An 18,258-nucleotide genomic window follows, 5' to 3' on the forward strand; every position below is an offset into this window, starting at 1 on the left:
AGGGATGATAGAAAAGGTTTCCTGGTCCTAAGGAGGAGGCCTGGGAACAGAGGACCCACATATTCCTCTAGATGTCATCAGGAAGCCTGGAAATGTCACATCCATTTTGCTAACATAGGAAGACAACCCATGGAGAAGGTCACTGTATGAGTTTGCTAGGGCTGTGGTAAAAAAGCTCCACAAACCTGGTGGCTTAAAACAACAGAAATGTATTGTCTCACAGGTATGGAGGCCAGAAGTCTAAAATTAAGGTGTTAGCAGGGCTGTGCTCTGACAGCTCTAGGGAAAAAAATCTTCCCTTGTATCTTACGGCTTCTGGTGTTTGCCAGCATTCTTTGACATTCCTTGGCTTGTAGATGCCATTCCAGTCCCATGGCCATATCCCCGTGTCATACAGTTTAGATCTGTGTCCCCACCCAAATCTCATGTTCAATTGTAATCCCCAATATTGGAGGTGGGGCCTGATGGGAGTGATTAGATTATAGGGGTGGTTTCTCAGGAATGGTTGAGCACCATCTTCTCAGTGCTGTTCTCATGACACTGAGTGAGTCATCATGAAATCAGGTTGCTTAAAAGTGTGTAGCACCTCCTCTCTCTTTCTTTTCCTCCTGCTCCAGCCATATAAGACTTGCCTGCTTCCCCTTTGCCTTCTGCTGTGATTGTAAGTTTCTTGTGGTTTCCCCAGGAGCCAAGCAGATGCTGCCATGCTTCCTATACAACCTGCAGAACCGGGAGCAATTAAACCTCTCTTCTTTGTAATTACCCAGTCTCAGATATTTCTTTATAGCAATGTGAGAGCAGGCTAATATACTGTGGGTCTATATCATCTTCCTCTTATGCATATTTGTGTCTGTTCTTTCCCTTTTCATAAAAGCATCAGGCATACTGGATTAGGGTCCACCCTGATTACTTCATTTTAACTTGATTACCTGTATTTCAAATAAAGTTATATTTTGAGGTTCTGGGAGTTGGGATATCAACATACATTTTTGGGGGAACACTGACAATTCAAACAACAATTAAGAGAATTTCAGTGAAAGATCCAGTCCTGACTTCCTGAAAGCTACCTGATCTCTTGAATTTTATGGAATAAATTTCCTTATTCTTAAAGTCAACTGGAATCAAGTTTTCTGTTACTTGCAGCCAAAGTGTTTGCAACGGAATTATGCAGACGCTTCTGATTGGATAGGGTAAGGGGAATGATGGAGGGTAATGAGGATCCTGGAGGAATGAACAATACTGGGAAAAGGAATCCGGCATGCTGAGCCTCACCCAGTATGTAAGGATGACAGATGTTTGTGTTGGTTCAGCATTGTTGCTCATTCTCCATTCAAACACCTCTTCACAAGCTGTCACTTGGAACATCCTTTCACCTGTCTCATGTGTGGGATCTTCTTAGACAAATGCTGTTTCTGCTGTGGCACAGAGACTATCAGGTGCTGGTTTGGGATCCTGACATGATCATTCCTAACACTCACAGGCTGTGCCCCAAAATGTTAATACCTCTATACCTTTCTTGATTTCCTGAAGTCCTCTGGGAAGTTTGTGATGAACTATTCCAGAGGCCTTTCCTTCCAGGTACAGATTGACAAAATATTTATATTCTTGGCACTCAATAAGTATTTCCTAACTGAACACTTTCTAGTGTGTTTGCTTGGCTAGAAGTGACCTAATGGATAATAGTTGGTAGGAGCAGTAGACAACTTCAAATCCAGCTGTCCAGCTGTGTAACTTTGTGTGGGTTATGCAAGCTCTCCAAGCTTCAAAGTCTTACTATGTGTAAGTAGGGCTCTTAGTTATCATGCCTGTTTGATAGACATCATTACCATTTTAAAAATGAATGAAGCTCAGACAAATTAAGTGTCACCTAAGACTACACACCTGGTAAATAGTGCTGAAGCAGATTCAGGGTGAGTGCCCTCCCCAAGCCTCCCATGTGCTTCCACACTTTATTTTCCCACACCATTCTGCAGCCCTATAAACATTGCTGGGAGGCAGCCTCCAAGACGGCCTGGACCCAAGTCAAGATAACATAGACAATTGCTGATTTTTAAAGTCTGTATTTCACTTTGCGATACATCATGTGATTTTTCTTGCAGAAAATTTGTTCTGGTCATGTCCTGTGCCTTGGCTAATACTGTAATTAACCAACCTACCTTAAGCACTCAACCACTGGATAATGTCTAGAGAAGGGAGGGAAAAGAAACCCAGGGATGTGCGTCTGACGACAAATCTAGCCTTGAGTAAAATATGTTTTTAATCATCTCTCCTGAATGATTTTCTATCTGGCAAGTAAGACCAATTGGTGATGCTTTATTTGATTAGGGATGATAATGACCCCTTTTGTAATTGTAATATTTTTTAACATTTCCTTGTAAAATTTTATTACTCTTCATGGATTTCACCTTTAGTAACATTTATGTGAAAGGAAAAATATACTCCTTCTAGTCACTTCACACGTTCAGGCTGTCACCATTGTCAGCTGCTGAATAACTGATTAGGGGGCCTGGGAGAGGCCGAGCTGCTTTCATTATGATGGTCAAAATAATCAGGCAAAATGGTGCAATTGAGTAATTGGAGATCTGAAAATGTAATACTACTTGATTACTATTATAGCTGGAAAATAGAGCAAGTATAGAGGGGCTAAGTCAGGAATGGATCTAAAAAGCAGCCTTGCCATTTATACAGATAATATTATCAATTTCAAATATATTACATAGGCTGTAATCTAGTCTTTTAAGAAATACTTTCTAAGCCCAGTTGTGTCATCTTTGTATATTATTTAATACACAAAATGCAGAAGAAAAAAAAACACATTTCGGCTTACATCTTGGTTGTGAAGAATAAAAATGTAAAGAATGATTTGCCCAGTATCACATAGCTAAAAAGCAATGGGGCATTGATGCACAATCGGACTTGTAGGGACAGAAGTACAGACTCTTAAATGCATTTTTTAAAAATAGAGGCCCACAGTCCTTATTCACAACTCCAAAATTTAAAAATTTCTGAAAATACTTGAAGGTCCTTTTGAATTTTTTTTTTTTCTTATAGTACATTTAGTAGCAAAATCTACTGCAACCTCTGACTCCCTGGTTCAAATGATTCTCCTGCCTCAGCCTCCTGAGTAGCTGGGATTACAGGCACACGCCACCACACCCAGCTAATTTTTGTGTTTTTAGTAGAGACAGGGTTCCACCATGTTGGCCAGGATGGTCTCCATCTCCTGACCTCATGATCCGCCCACCTCAGCCTCTCAAAGTGCTGGGATTACAGGCATGAGCCCTGCACCTGGCCAAAGACACCTTTTTTACTATCCCTCTACATCCCTCCTCTCAAAACCTTTATGCTTTCACTTGGACCAACCCTGACACAGGCTACTCCCAACAACTCATCTGGACTGTCCTCCCCTGGGGGTTTAGAGACAGCCATCACTATTTCAGTCACTTCAATTAGACCTCTCCCAACTACCTCTACAACCCAGGATTTTGCTGCAATATGTGGACAGTTTACTCCTTTGCAGCCCCTTTCTTGACCATTGTATTCAACACACCACCAAGATTTTAAATGTTTTGGCTGAATGTGGGTACCTGGTGTCCAAAAGGAAGGCCCAATTAACCTCACCGAAAGTTTCATACCTAGGACTGATCATAACTCCAAATACCCGAGAAATGCTGTTGGCATGAAAGCAAGGTGTTCAACAAATCCCATTTCCTAAAACGAAAAGGGACTTACTTTCCTTCCTTGGATTAGTGGGATATTTCCGATTATGGGTAGCAAATTTTGCCATTATTGCTAAACCCCTTTATGAACACACAAAAGGAAATCTTGACCAACCACTCACTCCCACCCCAGACCTTTATCATGCTTTTTCTCATCTAAAACGTGCCTTATTGCAGGCCCATGCTTTAGACATTCCAAACCTCCTAAGACCTTTTCATCTATATTTACACAGTTCTCATAATCAGGCCCTTGGACTATTAGCCCAACTTATGGGAGACTCCTTCTCAACAGTGGCATATTTTTCAAAACAACTAGACCCCATTTATAAAATCTGGTCCCTTTTCTTAAAAATTTTGGCCACAGCCTCTCTAATTATCTCTGAGACACAAAAACTCATGTTCTACAAACCCCTTCAGGTATTTTCTTCTCACAGTCTACAAGATATGGTCAGCCATAGGCGCTCACCCCCATCTCATCCTCTCATATGCAAGCCTTACATTTAACCCTCCTTCAACCCGCTATCTCTCTTCATAGATGCTCCCCACCTAATCCCGCCTCTCTTTTACCCTCAATACCGATTTTAGATCCTGACCAATACTCATGCTCTGATCTAATTGAAAGTTCTCCTACCATGTTTCACCATCTTACTTCCACTCACATAAAGGGAGCCCCAGACTGGTTTATAGATGGCAGTGCATCAAAAAACCCTCCTCTCCAAGCAGGATATGCCATCATTGAGGGATAGCGTTATGATACCCACTCTCTCCCATCTAGAAGAGTGATAGAGGCTGCCCCCTTGCCTTTGGGCACATCCGCCCAACAAGCAGAATTAGTTGCCCTAATAAGAGCACTAACCCTACCAAAAAACACACAAGTTAATAATACACCAATTCTAAATATGCTTATAACATCATCCATTCCAATGCCTAAATTTGGAGGGAGCGGGGCTATCTCACAGTTATAGGAACCCCTATCATTAATGGAAAGCTCATTCATCCTCTATTAAAGGCACTTCTACTTCCAGAAAAGGTTGCAGTTATTCATGGCAAAGAACATCAGACAAAAGCCACATTTCTTTAGGGAACCATGAGGCTGACTACTGGGCAAAACATGTCTCAACCAATCACCCAATTCCCCAATACTTATTTCCCTTCATACAACATATCCCCTTCTTTTATCCAGAACACCAAACACAACAACTAATCATGGCAGGGGCACAATTCAAACCCCCCAAACTGATTCATACAAAACAAATTAGTCCTACCTGACCCTGAAAAAAACAACTCTTTTACGGGACATTCACAACCTCTTCCATGCTAGCCATTCACCTCTACAACACTTCTTAAATTCCCATAAACACATAACCCCAGATATAAAGGAACAGTTAAAAGCCATTTCCCATCAATGCTCTATTTGCCAGAAAGCTTCACCCCATTCCAACACTAGACACTCTTCTTTCCCAATCCATCAAGCCAGGGGACACCTTCCAGGACAGGATTGGCAAATTGATTTTACCCATATACCCCCAGTAAAAAGGGTTTGATTTCTTTTAGTTCTGGTTGATACCTTTTTGGAATGGCTTGAGGCTTTTCCCACAACCAACAAACGAGCCTCTAATGTCACCTCCAAATTAATAACAGAAATCATCCCCAGGTTTGGGGTGCCTCTTTCTTTTCAATCTGATAATGGCCCTGAATTCATTTCTCAGATTACTCAAACACTTTCACAAGCCCTACAAATTACCTGGAAGCTACACATCCCCTATCGACCTCAATCTTCAGAAAAGGTTGAAAAAATGAATGGCATTCTAAAAAACACCCTCACCAGGTACTCACTCCAGACACATAAAGACTCGGTTACACTTTTGCCTTTAGCCCTTCTAAAAATTCAGGTGCTCTCACATAAACCTTTAATGCTCAGCCCCTTTGAACTCACATATGGGAGACCACTTGCCCCTTTTGGTCCACCTCAGGGTCAAGCCCCACCTCTGCCAACCCCTCTCATTTCCCCTCTTGTACATACCATCTGCCATTTCATTTGGGAATATGCTGACAAACACCTGCCACAACTTGTCACCAACTCCTCTAATCCCTTCCTACAGCCAGGAGACTGGGTTCTGATAAAAGATCCCAGTCCTAGCCCCAATTCCCTCCTTACACCTAAATGGAAAGGACCTTACCAGATCATCCTTACTACACCCATGGCAGCAAAACTCCAGGGACTCCCCAACTGGTTTCATTATACCTCTCTCAAGAAAACAGACTTCCCTTCACCACATACACAAACAACCAAATCTAAAACCCCTTCAGCCTTCTCTTGTGTCTCCACAGGACCTACTTCCCTTCGCCTCACCTAAATCCTGGAGGAAAAGGAAGAGAAATCCACATAAGCTGCTTATGTCTCTTTCTCTCCCAAACTTTCACTGCTTCCTAACCAACCTTGCTACAGACCTTCAGTGGTACCCTTACAAAGCTCCCATTATACATGCTAATCAGTTTCTGACTGTTCTATGGTACCTATGGCTTCAAGGAACTTTCCAGGACTTTACTACTACCCAAATAACTTTTTTCTCTTTTTGATTGTTTCTTTCAATATAAATTCCCTAATCATATCAACCTCACCAATAAAACCACTCCTCACTGCTCTCAAACTAGAATGCTCTATAAACCTTACACAATCCCTCTTGCTGCAAAGCTAACTCTTCCTTTGCTCCAGAGTGCTGGATATGCTTATCGCTGTCTTCCTCAGCTTACACAGCCCTTCCTACACCCCTTCATGACCTTTGAACAGGAAATATAACCCTAACTTATAAACTCCCAAAAGGAGCTTCCTTTTTTGAGAGAGCCGACACCCTGTTCAGAGATTATTTCACTTCCAGGGCCAATCGGGCCAACAAAATATTTCAAACCTATTACAACTCTCTACAATGCCTTAAGCACCAAGACCCTCCCATTGAAGGGCCCATAACTACACACACCCCCCTTTTACAACAAGCCTCACTTTGCTTTTCAGCCTCGGAGGGAAATTTCCCTGTAGGGTCCTTAACATCTAACCAATGCAATCACACTATCATTGTTAAACACCCCTCTGACCATCAAAGTAGCCACGTTGACTACCAAGTATCACCTGAAACAAATGGAGCATTTCTGCAACCAGCTAGTTTACAGCCTCTCCGTCAACCAATGCCTCCTGCCTAACTTGCGCTGCCCCTGGTGCCCAACTTTTTCCATGGCTCAATATCAATGGTGCAACATCCGATTGCATTAAATGTGTAAAAAATAACTCTTCCTATATCTCTACTATAGTGGGTGTCTCCCTGGCCTCCTCCTTGTCCACCTGGAGTAAAAAACCGCAGGAAAGAAAAAACACCCCATCTTTAATTTGCTTATCTTCTTTCCCTATCTCCGCCTGCATTATGACAAAGGCTTGTTCTTTTTATGCGGTACCAACACATATCTTTTTCTCCCCACCAACTAGACCAGAACCTGTACCCTAGTTTATCTTTCTCCCTCCGTTGGACTAGTTCCTCCTAATCAATCTTCACCTGTTCCATTCATCCAGTATGTTAGAAAAAGGAGGAGCATCCAAGTCATTCCTTTAATGGCTGCCTTATGTATAACCTCCGGGCTTGGATTGGGAGCAGGCAGACTGGCCAACTCCTTAACATACTTTAAAGTTCTTTCAACAGAACTACAGGATTTATTAAAAGATATAGCCCAAAGCCTTATAAGAGTCGAAGACCAATTAGACTCCTTGCCTGGAGCAGTCCTCCAAAATAGACTGGGATTAGATCTTACAATGGCTGAAAAAGGGGGTCTCTGCCTCTCACTGAGTGAGGAATGTTGCTTCTATCTCAACCAATCAGGCCTAGTAAGAGATGCTGCTGAAAAACTTGAAGAAAGGGCTAAAACGTGAAAGGAATACCAAAACAACCAAATACATTCTTGGTTTAGAAACAAAATCCTAACATGGACCATCCCATTCTTGGGCCCTCTCCTAATAATATGCCTAGGACTAATGTGCTTACCTGGCTTAATTCACCTTTTTCAAAGATTTTTTAACTGACAGGATCATGGACATCTCACAATTACCTAAAAACATCTACAGATGGCATTACTCCCACAATCAACCCAAGACCAAAGAACCCTCTGACCCTCCACTCAGCAGGAAGTAGCCAGAAAGAATATACCACCCCTCTTCCTTTCTATAACTGTAGGGACTGGATTGACAGAGCAGGAGATCGTCGTCTTGGAGAAACACCACCATTTTAAGTTCCCTTTGATTAAAAAAACACCCAAATCAAGCACCCAAACATCAGCCTAATGCCTAATGTCAGCATCACCAGAAACATTCCAACCCTAAGATAAACCCCCTCTGACCAGAAACACGCCAACCCTGAGACAGCCTCCCCTCCAACCAGACATCCCAATCCCAACCCCACAATAAACTTTCCCTCACATAGAAACATTCCGAACCTGCGATAAGCTCCCCACTTCCTACACCCTTAAATACCCTTAGTCTGTAAGAGAGAATGCTCCTGAGCAAAATTGGCCAGAAGCCCCTCTAAAGTTTATTCTCCAAAATAAATCTGTCTTTTACTGTTGAGCTGCTTTTTGTGTTTCTTACCTCTTTAACTCTTACAATAACCATCCCCATGTTCCCATGGAAAAGATGGCCAGCTGATCTTTTTATTTACCCAGTGAAGGGGCAGACCCAGAGAAGGTGGGCCTAATGATGTGGCTATCATTTTGGCTTGCCTCCCTCCAGCCTCCGTTCCAGGAGTCCTGCTCCTGGCCAAAATCCTATGTGTGATCTGATGGCAAGGCCTTGCCTGGGAGACCTCCCGGGGACCACTGCCATCCCCACCCTAGACATGGTGCATGACCAGGGCACTGCCATTTCTGGAGGGACTTGCAATTTATGACTCAGCTCTGCCCTGCCAGGCCAGCTGGGATCATGGCCATAGCTGCAGTCCCAGACCAGGTGCCTCTGTGCAGAGGCCTCCTGATCAGGGCCCAGATGAGGCACTTTCCTCCATGCTGGCTCCGTTCCTTTCTTCTCCTATCCCTTCCTTCCTTATGCTTCCCCTCCCTAGGTGCAGGAATGGCTGGAACCTTTTGTTCAGGACTGCTTAGCAAGGAAAAGAGCCCTCCCTCCCCCATGCCTGCTGATCCACCTGACCCTTAACCAACACCTCCGGACGCTGGAGAGCTGGAGAGCGGTGCCTACCTTTGCCTCCTGCCTGTACTGTTGCAGTGAGGGAACAAAGTCTTGATTGTAACTTTCAGCTTGGCTTGCTGTCCTGAGGATCACCTCGACACCTGTCAGCTCAACACCTGTCTAAGGCCAATCTTTGTCCTCTTGCTGTGGATACTGCCTTCTCCCACCTCTGCAGGAACCTTTGCCATCATCCTCCTTATCTCACCCATCTGCAACCTCACTAGCTACTTGCCCTCTCTCATCAGCACTTAAACATCGTATGTAAGTGCACCTGAAAGCAATAACTCAAGCATACCCCGAGAATGACCCTTCTTGCCAGACACACCTGAATGTGTGTTCTGAGCTAGGGAATCTAGGAGTGGCCAACCCAGAGATTGACTCCTTGTTGATGAGGAACATCTGAGTCCCCATCTCCTCCCGTGGAACACTGGCTATACACAGGGAATTGAGGCCCCAAGTCTGGGGTGAATTAAGATTTCCATGTGGAGGTTGCTGGGGGAGTGTGCTAAGTAAAAATGCTATGTAAATTGCATGCATTTTGCAAGCAGGTCTTGTTCTCCTGACCAGCCAGCCAGCATTGGACTCCCTCCCCTGTATGTAAGCCCTCAATGAAACCCCATGTCTCATCTGCTGGCTCTGGGTCTCTTCTTCAGCCTCTTGAACCTGGTGCCTTCCCTACTAGAGTTGATAGGAGTTTGGCATGACAGATACGATCACACTTTCAACCGACTTCAGAGTTCCTTGGCCTTTTGTCCTCCTCTTACCATTGATGGTTCTTGCTAAGTTCTGGAAGAAGGATTTGCTCACCTCAGACATTTAGTACATGCTGTTCCTGTGATGGGAATCCGTTCCCTTGCACTTCCTTTGGCTACATCCAGCCATTGGAGTCACCTGTTCCCATAAGCCTTTCTGGACTTTTCCATGCCTGGGAATCGGCCTTGCCTCTGTGTCCCCAGAGCACCTGGTGTCTGCCTTCATCAAGGCCTGTGGTGCCCTGTGCTTACCTACTGGTTCCTCCCCTCAACTGAGAATTTCTTGAGGACTTATGTCCCCATGATTACCTAAATGACCAGATGCTTTAAAGGCACTCGACAAATCCTTGGCGGCACATGAATGAAGAATCTGCATTATAAAAGGATGAATTCCAACACTGGTAGCTAAAATAATAAATTTAGCATAGGATTTTTAAAAAAATCCCTAAAATAAAGCTAAGCTATCCATTAGAAGTACAGACCCTTTTGCTGTCAAAGCTTAACTTTTAAAAATATATGTTGTTTTTACCCCAATATTATTCTTCCCATATGATATGGTTTGGCTGTGTCCCCACCCAAATGTCATCTTGAATTGTAGCTCCCATAATTCCCATGTGTTGTGGAAGGGACCAGGTGTGAGATAATTGAATCATGGGGGCGGTTTCCCCCCTGCTGCTCTTGTGGTAGTGAATAAGTCTCACGAGATCTGATGGTTTTATAAGAGGTTTCCCCCTTTAGCTTGGCTCTCATTCTCTCTTGCCTGCCACCATGTAAGATGTGCCTTTCACCTTCCACCATGACTGTGAGGCCTCTCCAGCCACGTGGAACTGTGAGTCCATTAAACCTCTTTTTCTTTATAAATTACCCAGTTTCATCGAGTATGTCTTTATCATCAGTGTAAGAATGGACTAATACACCATATAATAGGCCTTACTATTTCAACTTAGGGTAAAAATATATACATTATTTGTCTGGTCATTGTATTTTTTTATGTTTCTAAGTCCACATAGAGTTAAATTTCAAGGTCCTTCTGGTTAAGAGCTGTACCTCTTACATGACTTTTGTTTATGGATCCATTGATTTCTAACTTCCTTTTTAGCTTAAGTGAATTCTACTGAGAAAGCTGAGAGACATTTAAAATCTGAAGAGCCTATGAATTTTATTTTATTGAAAATCAAAAGCTTCCTTCTAGATTCTGACTAACATAACAATATATAAATTATAAAACATTAAAAATATGTTAACTCTCTTGAACACAAAAATGCAAGCTTTATTTTAAAATTCTGCTGTATTTTAATTTATAGGTGCTAAGAACCCTAGCATTCAGGTTTCAGCATCTAACTCTATTAGATTATTTCCAGAATTTTAGAATTGATATATAATCTGACAATGCTGAAAATGGTCTCAAACACCTGCACCCTGCAGAAGAGACAATTTTAAATATTAAAATCTAATTATCCCAAGTTATCAAAAATAGGATAATACTTCTGAATGACTAAAGTGAAATTACTTTGATGTTAATCATTATTACTAAAATAAGAACAATGAATTTAACTTACTGCATTTTTAAAACTCTTACCCTCGGAAACGTAGTAAATCTGTCCAGTTCTTCGACAAAGCAGAACATCTGCAAACTAATTGCTGACATAACAATCAAGAGGCTGGCAGTAAATACAACCAAACTCCCAAGCTTTTTTCCAGGACCAAATATCTTGTACACAAAGTCTTCTAATGCAGGTGAAATCTTAATCAGCCGAACTACTCGGAGAACCTATCAAGGGAGAGAGAAACATTTATTTACACATATGATCATTTATTTACACTGAATCTTAAATATATTCATACTAAAATATTATTTTATAGTGCTTTATGAAAATCATACCTCTCTATTTGAATATCTAGTGACTAAAATTAACAATAGAATAACCATTGGTCTAGCTCAATAAATCCCAAATGAATGGATGAACTAAGTGTTTTAACATATTATATGATTATACAAAATGATATTCACTAGTACGTATTGTTGAAATAAAATTAATATTTTTCTAACGTTCAAATATGCAAGGAAACCTTTAATTCAATACAGGTTGAACATTCCTAATTTAAAACATAAAATGCTCAAAAATTTAAAGTTTTTGAGTGCTGATATGAGGCCATAAGTGAAAAATTCTACACCTGACACCTTTGCTTTATGATGGTTCAATGTATACACACTTTGTTTCATGCATAAAAAAACTATTAAGAATATTGCATACAACTACCTTCAGGGAATGTATTTGAGGTGTTTATAAAACATAAACAATTTTTGTGTTTAGACTTGGGTCCCATTCCCAGGATATCTCATTATGCACATACATACAAATATTCCAAAATCTGACAAACATCGAAAGCCAAAACACTTCTGTTCCCAAGCATTTGGGATACAGATACTCAACCTGTATTAGTTATATTCACTGTCTCATAAAATATTTTCCTAGGTATTATTAGAAAATCACAAGGAAATGGAAAGAGAAGCAAACTTTTGCCAAGAATCTTTACTTCTTATTGAGATTATCAGCCCAGTATCCATTTTCTCTTTCCTCCTTTAAAAAACAGAACTTTCCGAATTCTAACCTAGCAAGTGGTTGCCTGGGGCTATAGCCTACACATTCCAGTCTCCCTTGCAGCTAGCTGTCTCCAGTGGACTGGGTTCAGACCTACGGAATGTGAGAGGAAATGATTTGTACAAGTTTTGGTGCATTAAGTTAAACTTTCTCTGAATCCTTTTTAAAATACCTTTCTCTTGCCTGGAAATGGAAACAAATAGTGTAGCCCCTTTGGACCAGAAATAGAAGGCTTGCATAGAATACGACAGGTCCTGTCCAACCCGACAGGCTGGGTGACCATGGGGGGCACAGCCACCTGCTTTCCCTGCATACTTACCAACTGCTGCAGAGAAATAAACTTCTGTCTTATGTAAGTTTTGTATTTTTGGATCTTTGTTATATGTACTCAACTATTCTCTCTCTATATATACACGCATGTATATGTGTGTGTGTATATATTTACATATATTTTAGTCATGCATCGCATAACTTTTGAGTCAAGTATGGGCCACGTATAGGATGGTGGTCCTATAAGACTTACCTTTTCTATATTTAGCTATGTTTAGATATACAAATACTTACCTTTGTGTGACAATTGCCTACAGTATTCAATGTAGTCATACACTGTACAGGTTTGTAGCCTAGGAGCAATAGGCCATACCATATAGCCTAGGTATATAGTGGGCTATACATCTAGGTTTGTGTAAGTAAACTCTATGATCACACGACAACAAAATTGCCTAACAATGCATTTCTCAAAATGTATCTCTGCTGTTAAATGATGCATGACTGTGTATACACACACACACACACATCTAAATATATACAGATATATTTAGATGTTTTGCATACTCACATTTGCAAAAAAAAATAAGTAATTAATTGACAAATTTATTCACTCATTTGTTTAACAAACCTTTATTGATTACTATGTGCCAAACTTTGTGTTGGACAAATAGGATTCAATGGCTACTATTACAAAGCGAGTATAACACAAAGACACAGCTTTTAAGGACATATTTATATGATTAGTATGTATAAATTAGTACATAATTAAAAGCTGAAGTATATAGTGTGAAAAATACAACTTTTCATTAAGTCTAAGATGTCACCAATTTTGTATGTAGCTCTAAGAAATAAAAAAATGCTGCCAATTAAAGTATAACACACCACTGATTATAACAGCTCCCAAATTCAGAGATATTAACATAGGAAAATTGCATTCTTGGCATAAATGAAATATAGTTTATACAATGATCATCCAAGATTTTTTGATGTCAATAAGAGATTGAGTTGTCTGTTAAAGATGAATAGTGTATTTAGAACACAGTAAGAAACAGAAAATTCATTTTTAAAAATTAGATTTTAATTTTTACATGTCTAAAATAACATTTGTTTCTTTTTGGCTTTCCAGTGCCTCTGGCTTCTTCAACTCTGCCTGGTTTTCCTTTAGCAAATCATTCCTACCCCAGCCTTAGTACAAAGGTGCAAGAAGGACTCCCCACCCGTCATGATCCAGATCTGGCCAGAGTATTCACAGTCATCTGAGTCATCCTCAGGGCTTTTGCTGGATGCCTTTAATAAGAAATGTTCTATTTCTTTTTTTTTTTTTTTTAATCCCCAACGGGTACTGCTGTAAGAGTCACACAAACTCTTACAGAGCTCCTGGGAGCCATCTTTGCCTTCACATAGAGAAAACCAGCTTAAGAATGACACCGACACACCAACAGAAGAAAGGTAGGTGAAGACATACACTGAGCCCCTGACACCATATCGGCCTCTGAATTTTGCCATACCTGAAACCACGTTTACTGCATTTACTTTGATTTAACAGGAAGTATCAGTGGTCAGTCTTATTCCTATTGTCTGCAGAATGCAAATGATATGGTTTACAGCATGTAAGTAAACCAATTGAAAAAAAATGACTAAAGCATGTTTCCTTCATGCTAATTTGCAATTTTTAAACATATGTAAGAAATTATGTTGTTCAAATTAAGCATCATACCACATGGTGCAGCTACCAATTTTTCCTGCTGTAATTCTTTTCTTTTCTTTTTTTTTTTTTGTGACGGAGTCTCACTCTGTCGCCCAGGCTGGAGTGTAGTGGAGCGATCTCGGCTCACTGCAAGCTCCACCTCCCGGGTTCACACCATTCTCCTGCCTCAGCCTCCCGAGTAGCTGGGACTACAGGCGCCCACCACCACACCCAGCTAATTTTTTTGTAATTTTAGTAGAGACGGGGTTTCACCATGTTAGCCAGGATGGTCTCGATCTCCTGACCTCGTGATCCGCCTGCCTCGGCCTCCCAAAGTGCTGGGATTACAGGTGTGAGCCACTGCACCCGGCCATCCTGCTGTAATTCTTAACATACATTCCCAAATCAGGACATATTACTCTCAGATAATCTTTACAAAGAACAAGCAAACAGCTTTATCATAAGAACTATTAAAGTATTAACATTCGTATTAATTTCCAGAATAATAATCTGGAAAGATTTCACATTTTTATCAGATTTGTCTATTTTCGGACATAAATAATTCAGTACCTAACTGTAAACAGCTTGAAAAAAATGGAACTATTTAATACCACTTCCACATTGGTGATTTGATCAGCATTTTCAAAGGGTTAAACCTGCATTCCTAGAAAGGAAAAATCCCTGTCAGTGAGTCTAATTGTGCCTTTTCATTTATTCAGGGATCAGCAGGTTTTTCACTCTATCTACCCTATAAAGATTTTTGATTTTGTGTTCCTACAGATACAACATGAAGTAAACCATACTCTCAAAGATAAGCACTTCAGAACATTTTGTCTCTGAAACACATTTTCCTGGTCACATTTCTGAGTCCTTCTCTTAAAGGTCACTCTGTTGATTTGTAGTGAGATGCTGTAGAAATTGCATAGTTAAGAATATGAACTCTGAAATTCATGTTCTTGGGAAGAATTTTTTTTTTTTTTTTTGTGAGACGGAGTCTCCCTCTGTGGCCCAGGCTGGAGAGCAGTGGCGCAATCTCAGCTCACTGCAAGCTCCACCTCCCGGGTTCACACCATTCTCCTGCCTCAGCCTCCCAAGTAGCTGGGACTACAGGCGCCCACCACCACGCCTGGCTAATTTTTTGTATTTTTAGTAGAGACGGGGTTTCACCATGTTAGCCGGGATAGTCTTGATCTCCTGACCTCGTGATCCACCCGCCTCGGCCTCCCAAAGTGCTGGGATTACAGGTGTGAGCCACTGCGCCCAGCCGGGAAGAAGATTTAGCTCCATCATCTGCTAGGTATGCGGTCTTGGGCAAGTCAACAGATTTCTTGAGACCTCAATTTACACATACAGTCCTTATCTTAGGGCTTGTTATGAGAAACAAATGAGACAATGCACTCAGCAAGATGCCCGACCCACAGGAAATTCACAAGACGCACCAGTCAATATCATCAGGATGATACCGATATGTAAGAACCACAGCGTTTTGCAAGACCTGATGATTTCCCACAGGCCATGCTGCCCTGCATTGGTTGCAGCCCAGCCACGCTGGCCTTTGTGCTATTCCTTGAACACATCAATCATGCACCCACCTCAGGACATGCTCAGTGTGATTCTCTCCACCTGGAATGCTTCCCCTCAGACCTCCTTACAGTTTGCTCCTTCACTTCATTCAGTCTCTGCTCAAACCTCACCTCTTCAGAGAGGGCTTCTATGAACAACTAATCTAAAATAGCCCCTACTACACAATCTCTATGCTTTTTACCCTGCACACTTCTTCCTTAAGACATTTCCAGTACTTGTACTTCACATTCCTTTGTGTACTTCTTTGTGAACTGTTTGCCTTTAGAATTTCAGCTTCATAAAATGGGAATCCTCTCTGCTTTGTCCACTGCTCCATCTTCAGTATCTGGAACAGTGGCTGACACATAGTAGAAGCTCAGAAATATCACTTGAATAAATACATGAATAACTTCAGTAGTTAGTCTAACAGATAACTAATATTTTAAAGGAAGCCACTTTGCACTAAACATTACTTCATTTAAATGTGAGAAATATGAAATTGTCTAAGGAAAGACTTGTTGCCAACACAGTAAAGAAAGGTTGATTGAAATGAGAAGTGTGAGGACCAATAGGGAAGACCAATGTAGGCCTTTATACAAAGAGCCGCTCTGTCTGGTACAGTGGATTCTCCACATGCAAATTTGCAAAAACCCTTGTGACACCTAAGTTTCTCAAGAGATTTACTTTCTAGCCACAAATTAACTGAGATCATTTTTATTCATTATTAATACATTAGAAAAAGAGAAGCATGGCCATGTATAGAGAGATACAAATGAAAATCACCTAATCATTAACATAAATTAAACAGAACCAATTACAGAATAATCCAAAATCAAAGACAAAACTGAAATTGCAAACTTCACTGTGATTTGACTATCTATCTACTATCTATCTATCTACTATCTATCTATCTATCATCTACCTATCTATCTATCTATCATCTGTCTATCTATAAAATGGTTACAGCCTTGCAGGCTAATATTAGATATTTTGTAAAAAAACAGACTAGTAGGAAAATCAGACATGATGACAAGAGTAGGAAACTAGAGATGATTAATAATTTGTAATAAATTGGTTTCTTTCTAGTCATTTTTTTCCATTTTATAGGTATTTTACATATGTATATAATAAATATATACATACATATATGTAGTTATGTATATAATATAATTTATGCTGTTTATCGTTTAAATAAAACAGTCATATTTCTAAGTTATAAAAAACTCATCACAATTATAATTTTATGGTTAAATTCGCGTTATGACTTATTAAGCTATTCCTCAAATGTTTGTCATTTAAACAGTTTTCTTTTTTCTCTCATTAATTCTATAATAAATATTTTGCACACAAATGTTATTTTCTAACTTTTTACTGAAAAATGGCATGTCAGAGACTATAGCAATTTTAAGGCCCTGAATATATTTTATACTGTACCTTTGCTGAAATAGGCAACACCAATTTTCTTAATTTGGCTACTTTAATAGCTTTGTAAAAAAGGTATGCTGTTGTTTTGATATAAAGGATATTCTCTATAATTATGTGCAATGATGCCCTAAGGTAGGTACTCAATGGCCATGATAACTTTGTGAATCTAGAGAGCAGTGCACAAGAGCTTATAATCACAGGAATGTTTGGAAAGCACATTTTGTATCAAGAGTTTTAAACATGTATATCTCTTGCCCCAGCCATGTCACTTATGATAGCTAAGCTTCAGGATATAACTCAACAAATGAGGAGAGATTTACATCCACGGATGCTGAGGGAAGTGAGCGCTTGAACTATGAAAACCCTCTGTGGTTTCAATATGCTTAGCTGTGATTACAAGGGCTCAGCTTTTTGCCTGGGTTTGTAGGGGGTTTTGCTTTTTACTTTTTGTGAATTATATTTGCATGTCCTTTCCCCCAGGTACTAAAAGTGTCTAGTTACCTGTGATCTGGCAGTTAAAGTGAATATTGTTCTGAAAATAATATTTTGGTATTACTAATAAATAAAATCAATAAAGTTGCAATGCATGTTCTTTTTCCTAAGGGGTTAGAGTCCTGTTTCTCAAAATTACTTCTTTAAAATTCTACTGTCATTTTATTTCCCAAATATTTAACAATATCTATTTAGAAAACAATCAATGCACATTCTAGTGTTTCCATGATAAATTATATAAATGCGAAGGACATGAACAGACACTTCTCAAAAGAAGACATTTATGCAGCCAAAAAACACATGGAAAAATGCTCACCATCACTGGCCATCAGAGAAACGCAAATGAAAACCACAATGAGATACCATCTCACACCAGTTAGAATGGCAATCATTAAAAAGTCAGGAAACAACAGGTGCTGGAGAGGATGTGGAGAAATAGGAACACTTTTACACTGTTGGTGGGACTGTAAACTAGTTCAACTCTTGTGGAAGTCAGTGTGGCGATTCCTCAGGGATCTAGAACTAG

General features: G+C 40.3%; 1 protein-coding gene across 10 annotated transcripts in view; it reads right to left on the reverse strand.

The window, feature by feature from the left end:
* The window catches only part of NALCN (sodium leak channel, non-selective), a 363,404-nt gene that overhangs the window by 164,346 nt on the left and 180,800 nt on the right, over positions 1-18,258 (reverse strand). For all 10 annotated transcript variants that reach the window (XM_011521069.3, XM_011521067.3, XM_024449336.2 and 7 more), the window contains one exon: positions 11,272-11,463. In XM_011521069.3, the coding sequence (XP_011519371.1) occupies positions 11,272-11,463 (192 nt within the window). The remainder of the gene's footprint in view (positions 1-11,271; positions 11,464-18,258) is intronic.

The sequence above is a fragment of the Homo sapiens genome, chromosome 13, assembly GCF_000001405.40.
Source record: "Homo sapiens chromosome 13, GRCh38.p14 Primary Assembly".
In the NCBI taxonomy this organism is placed as follows: domain Eukaryota; kingdom Metazoa; phylum Chordata; class Mammalia; order Primates; family Hominidae; genus Homo; species Homo sapiens.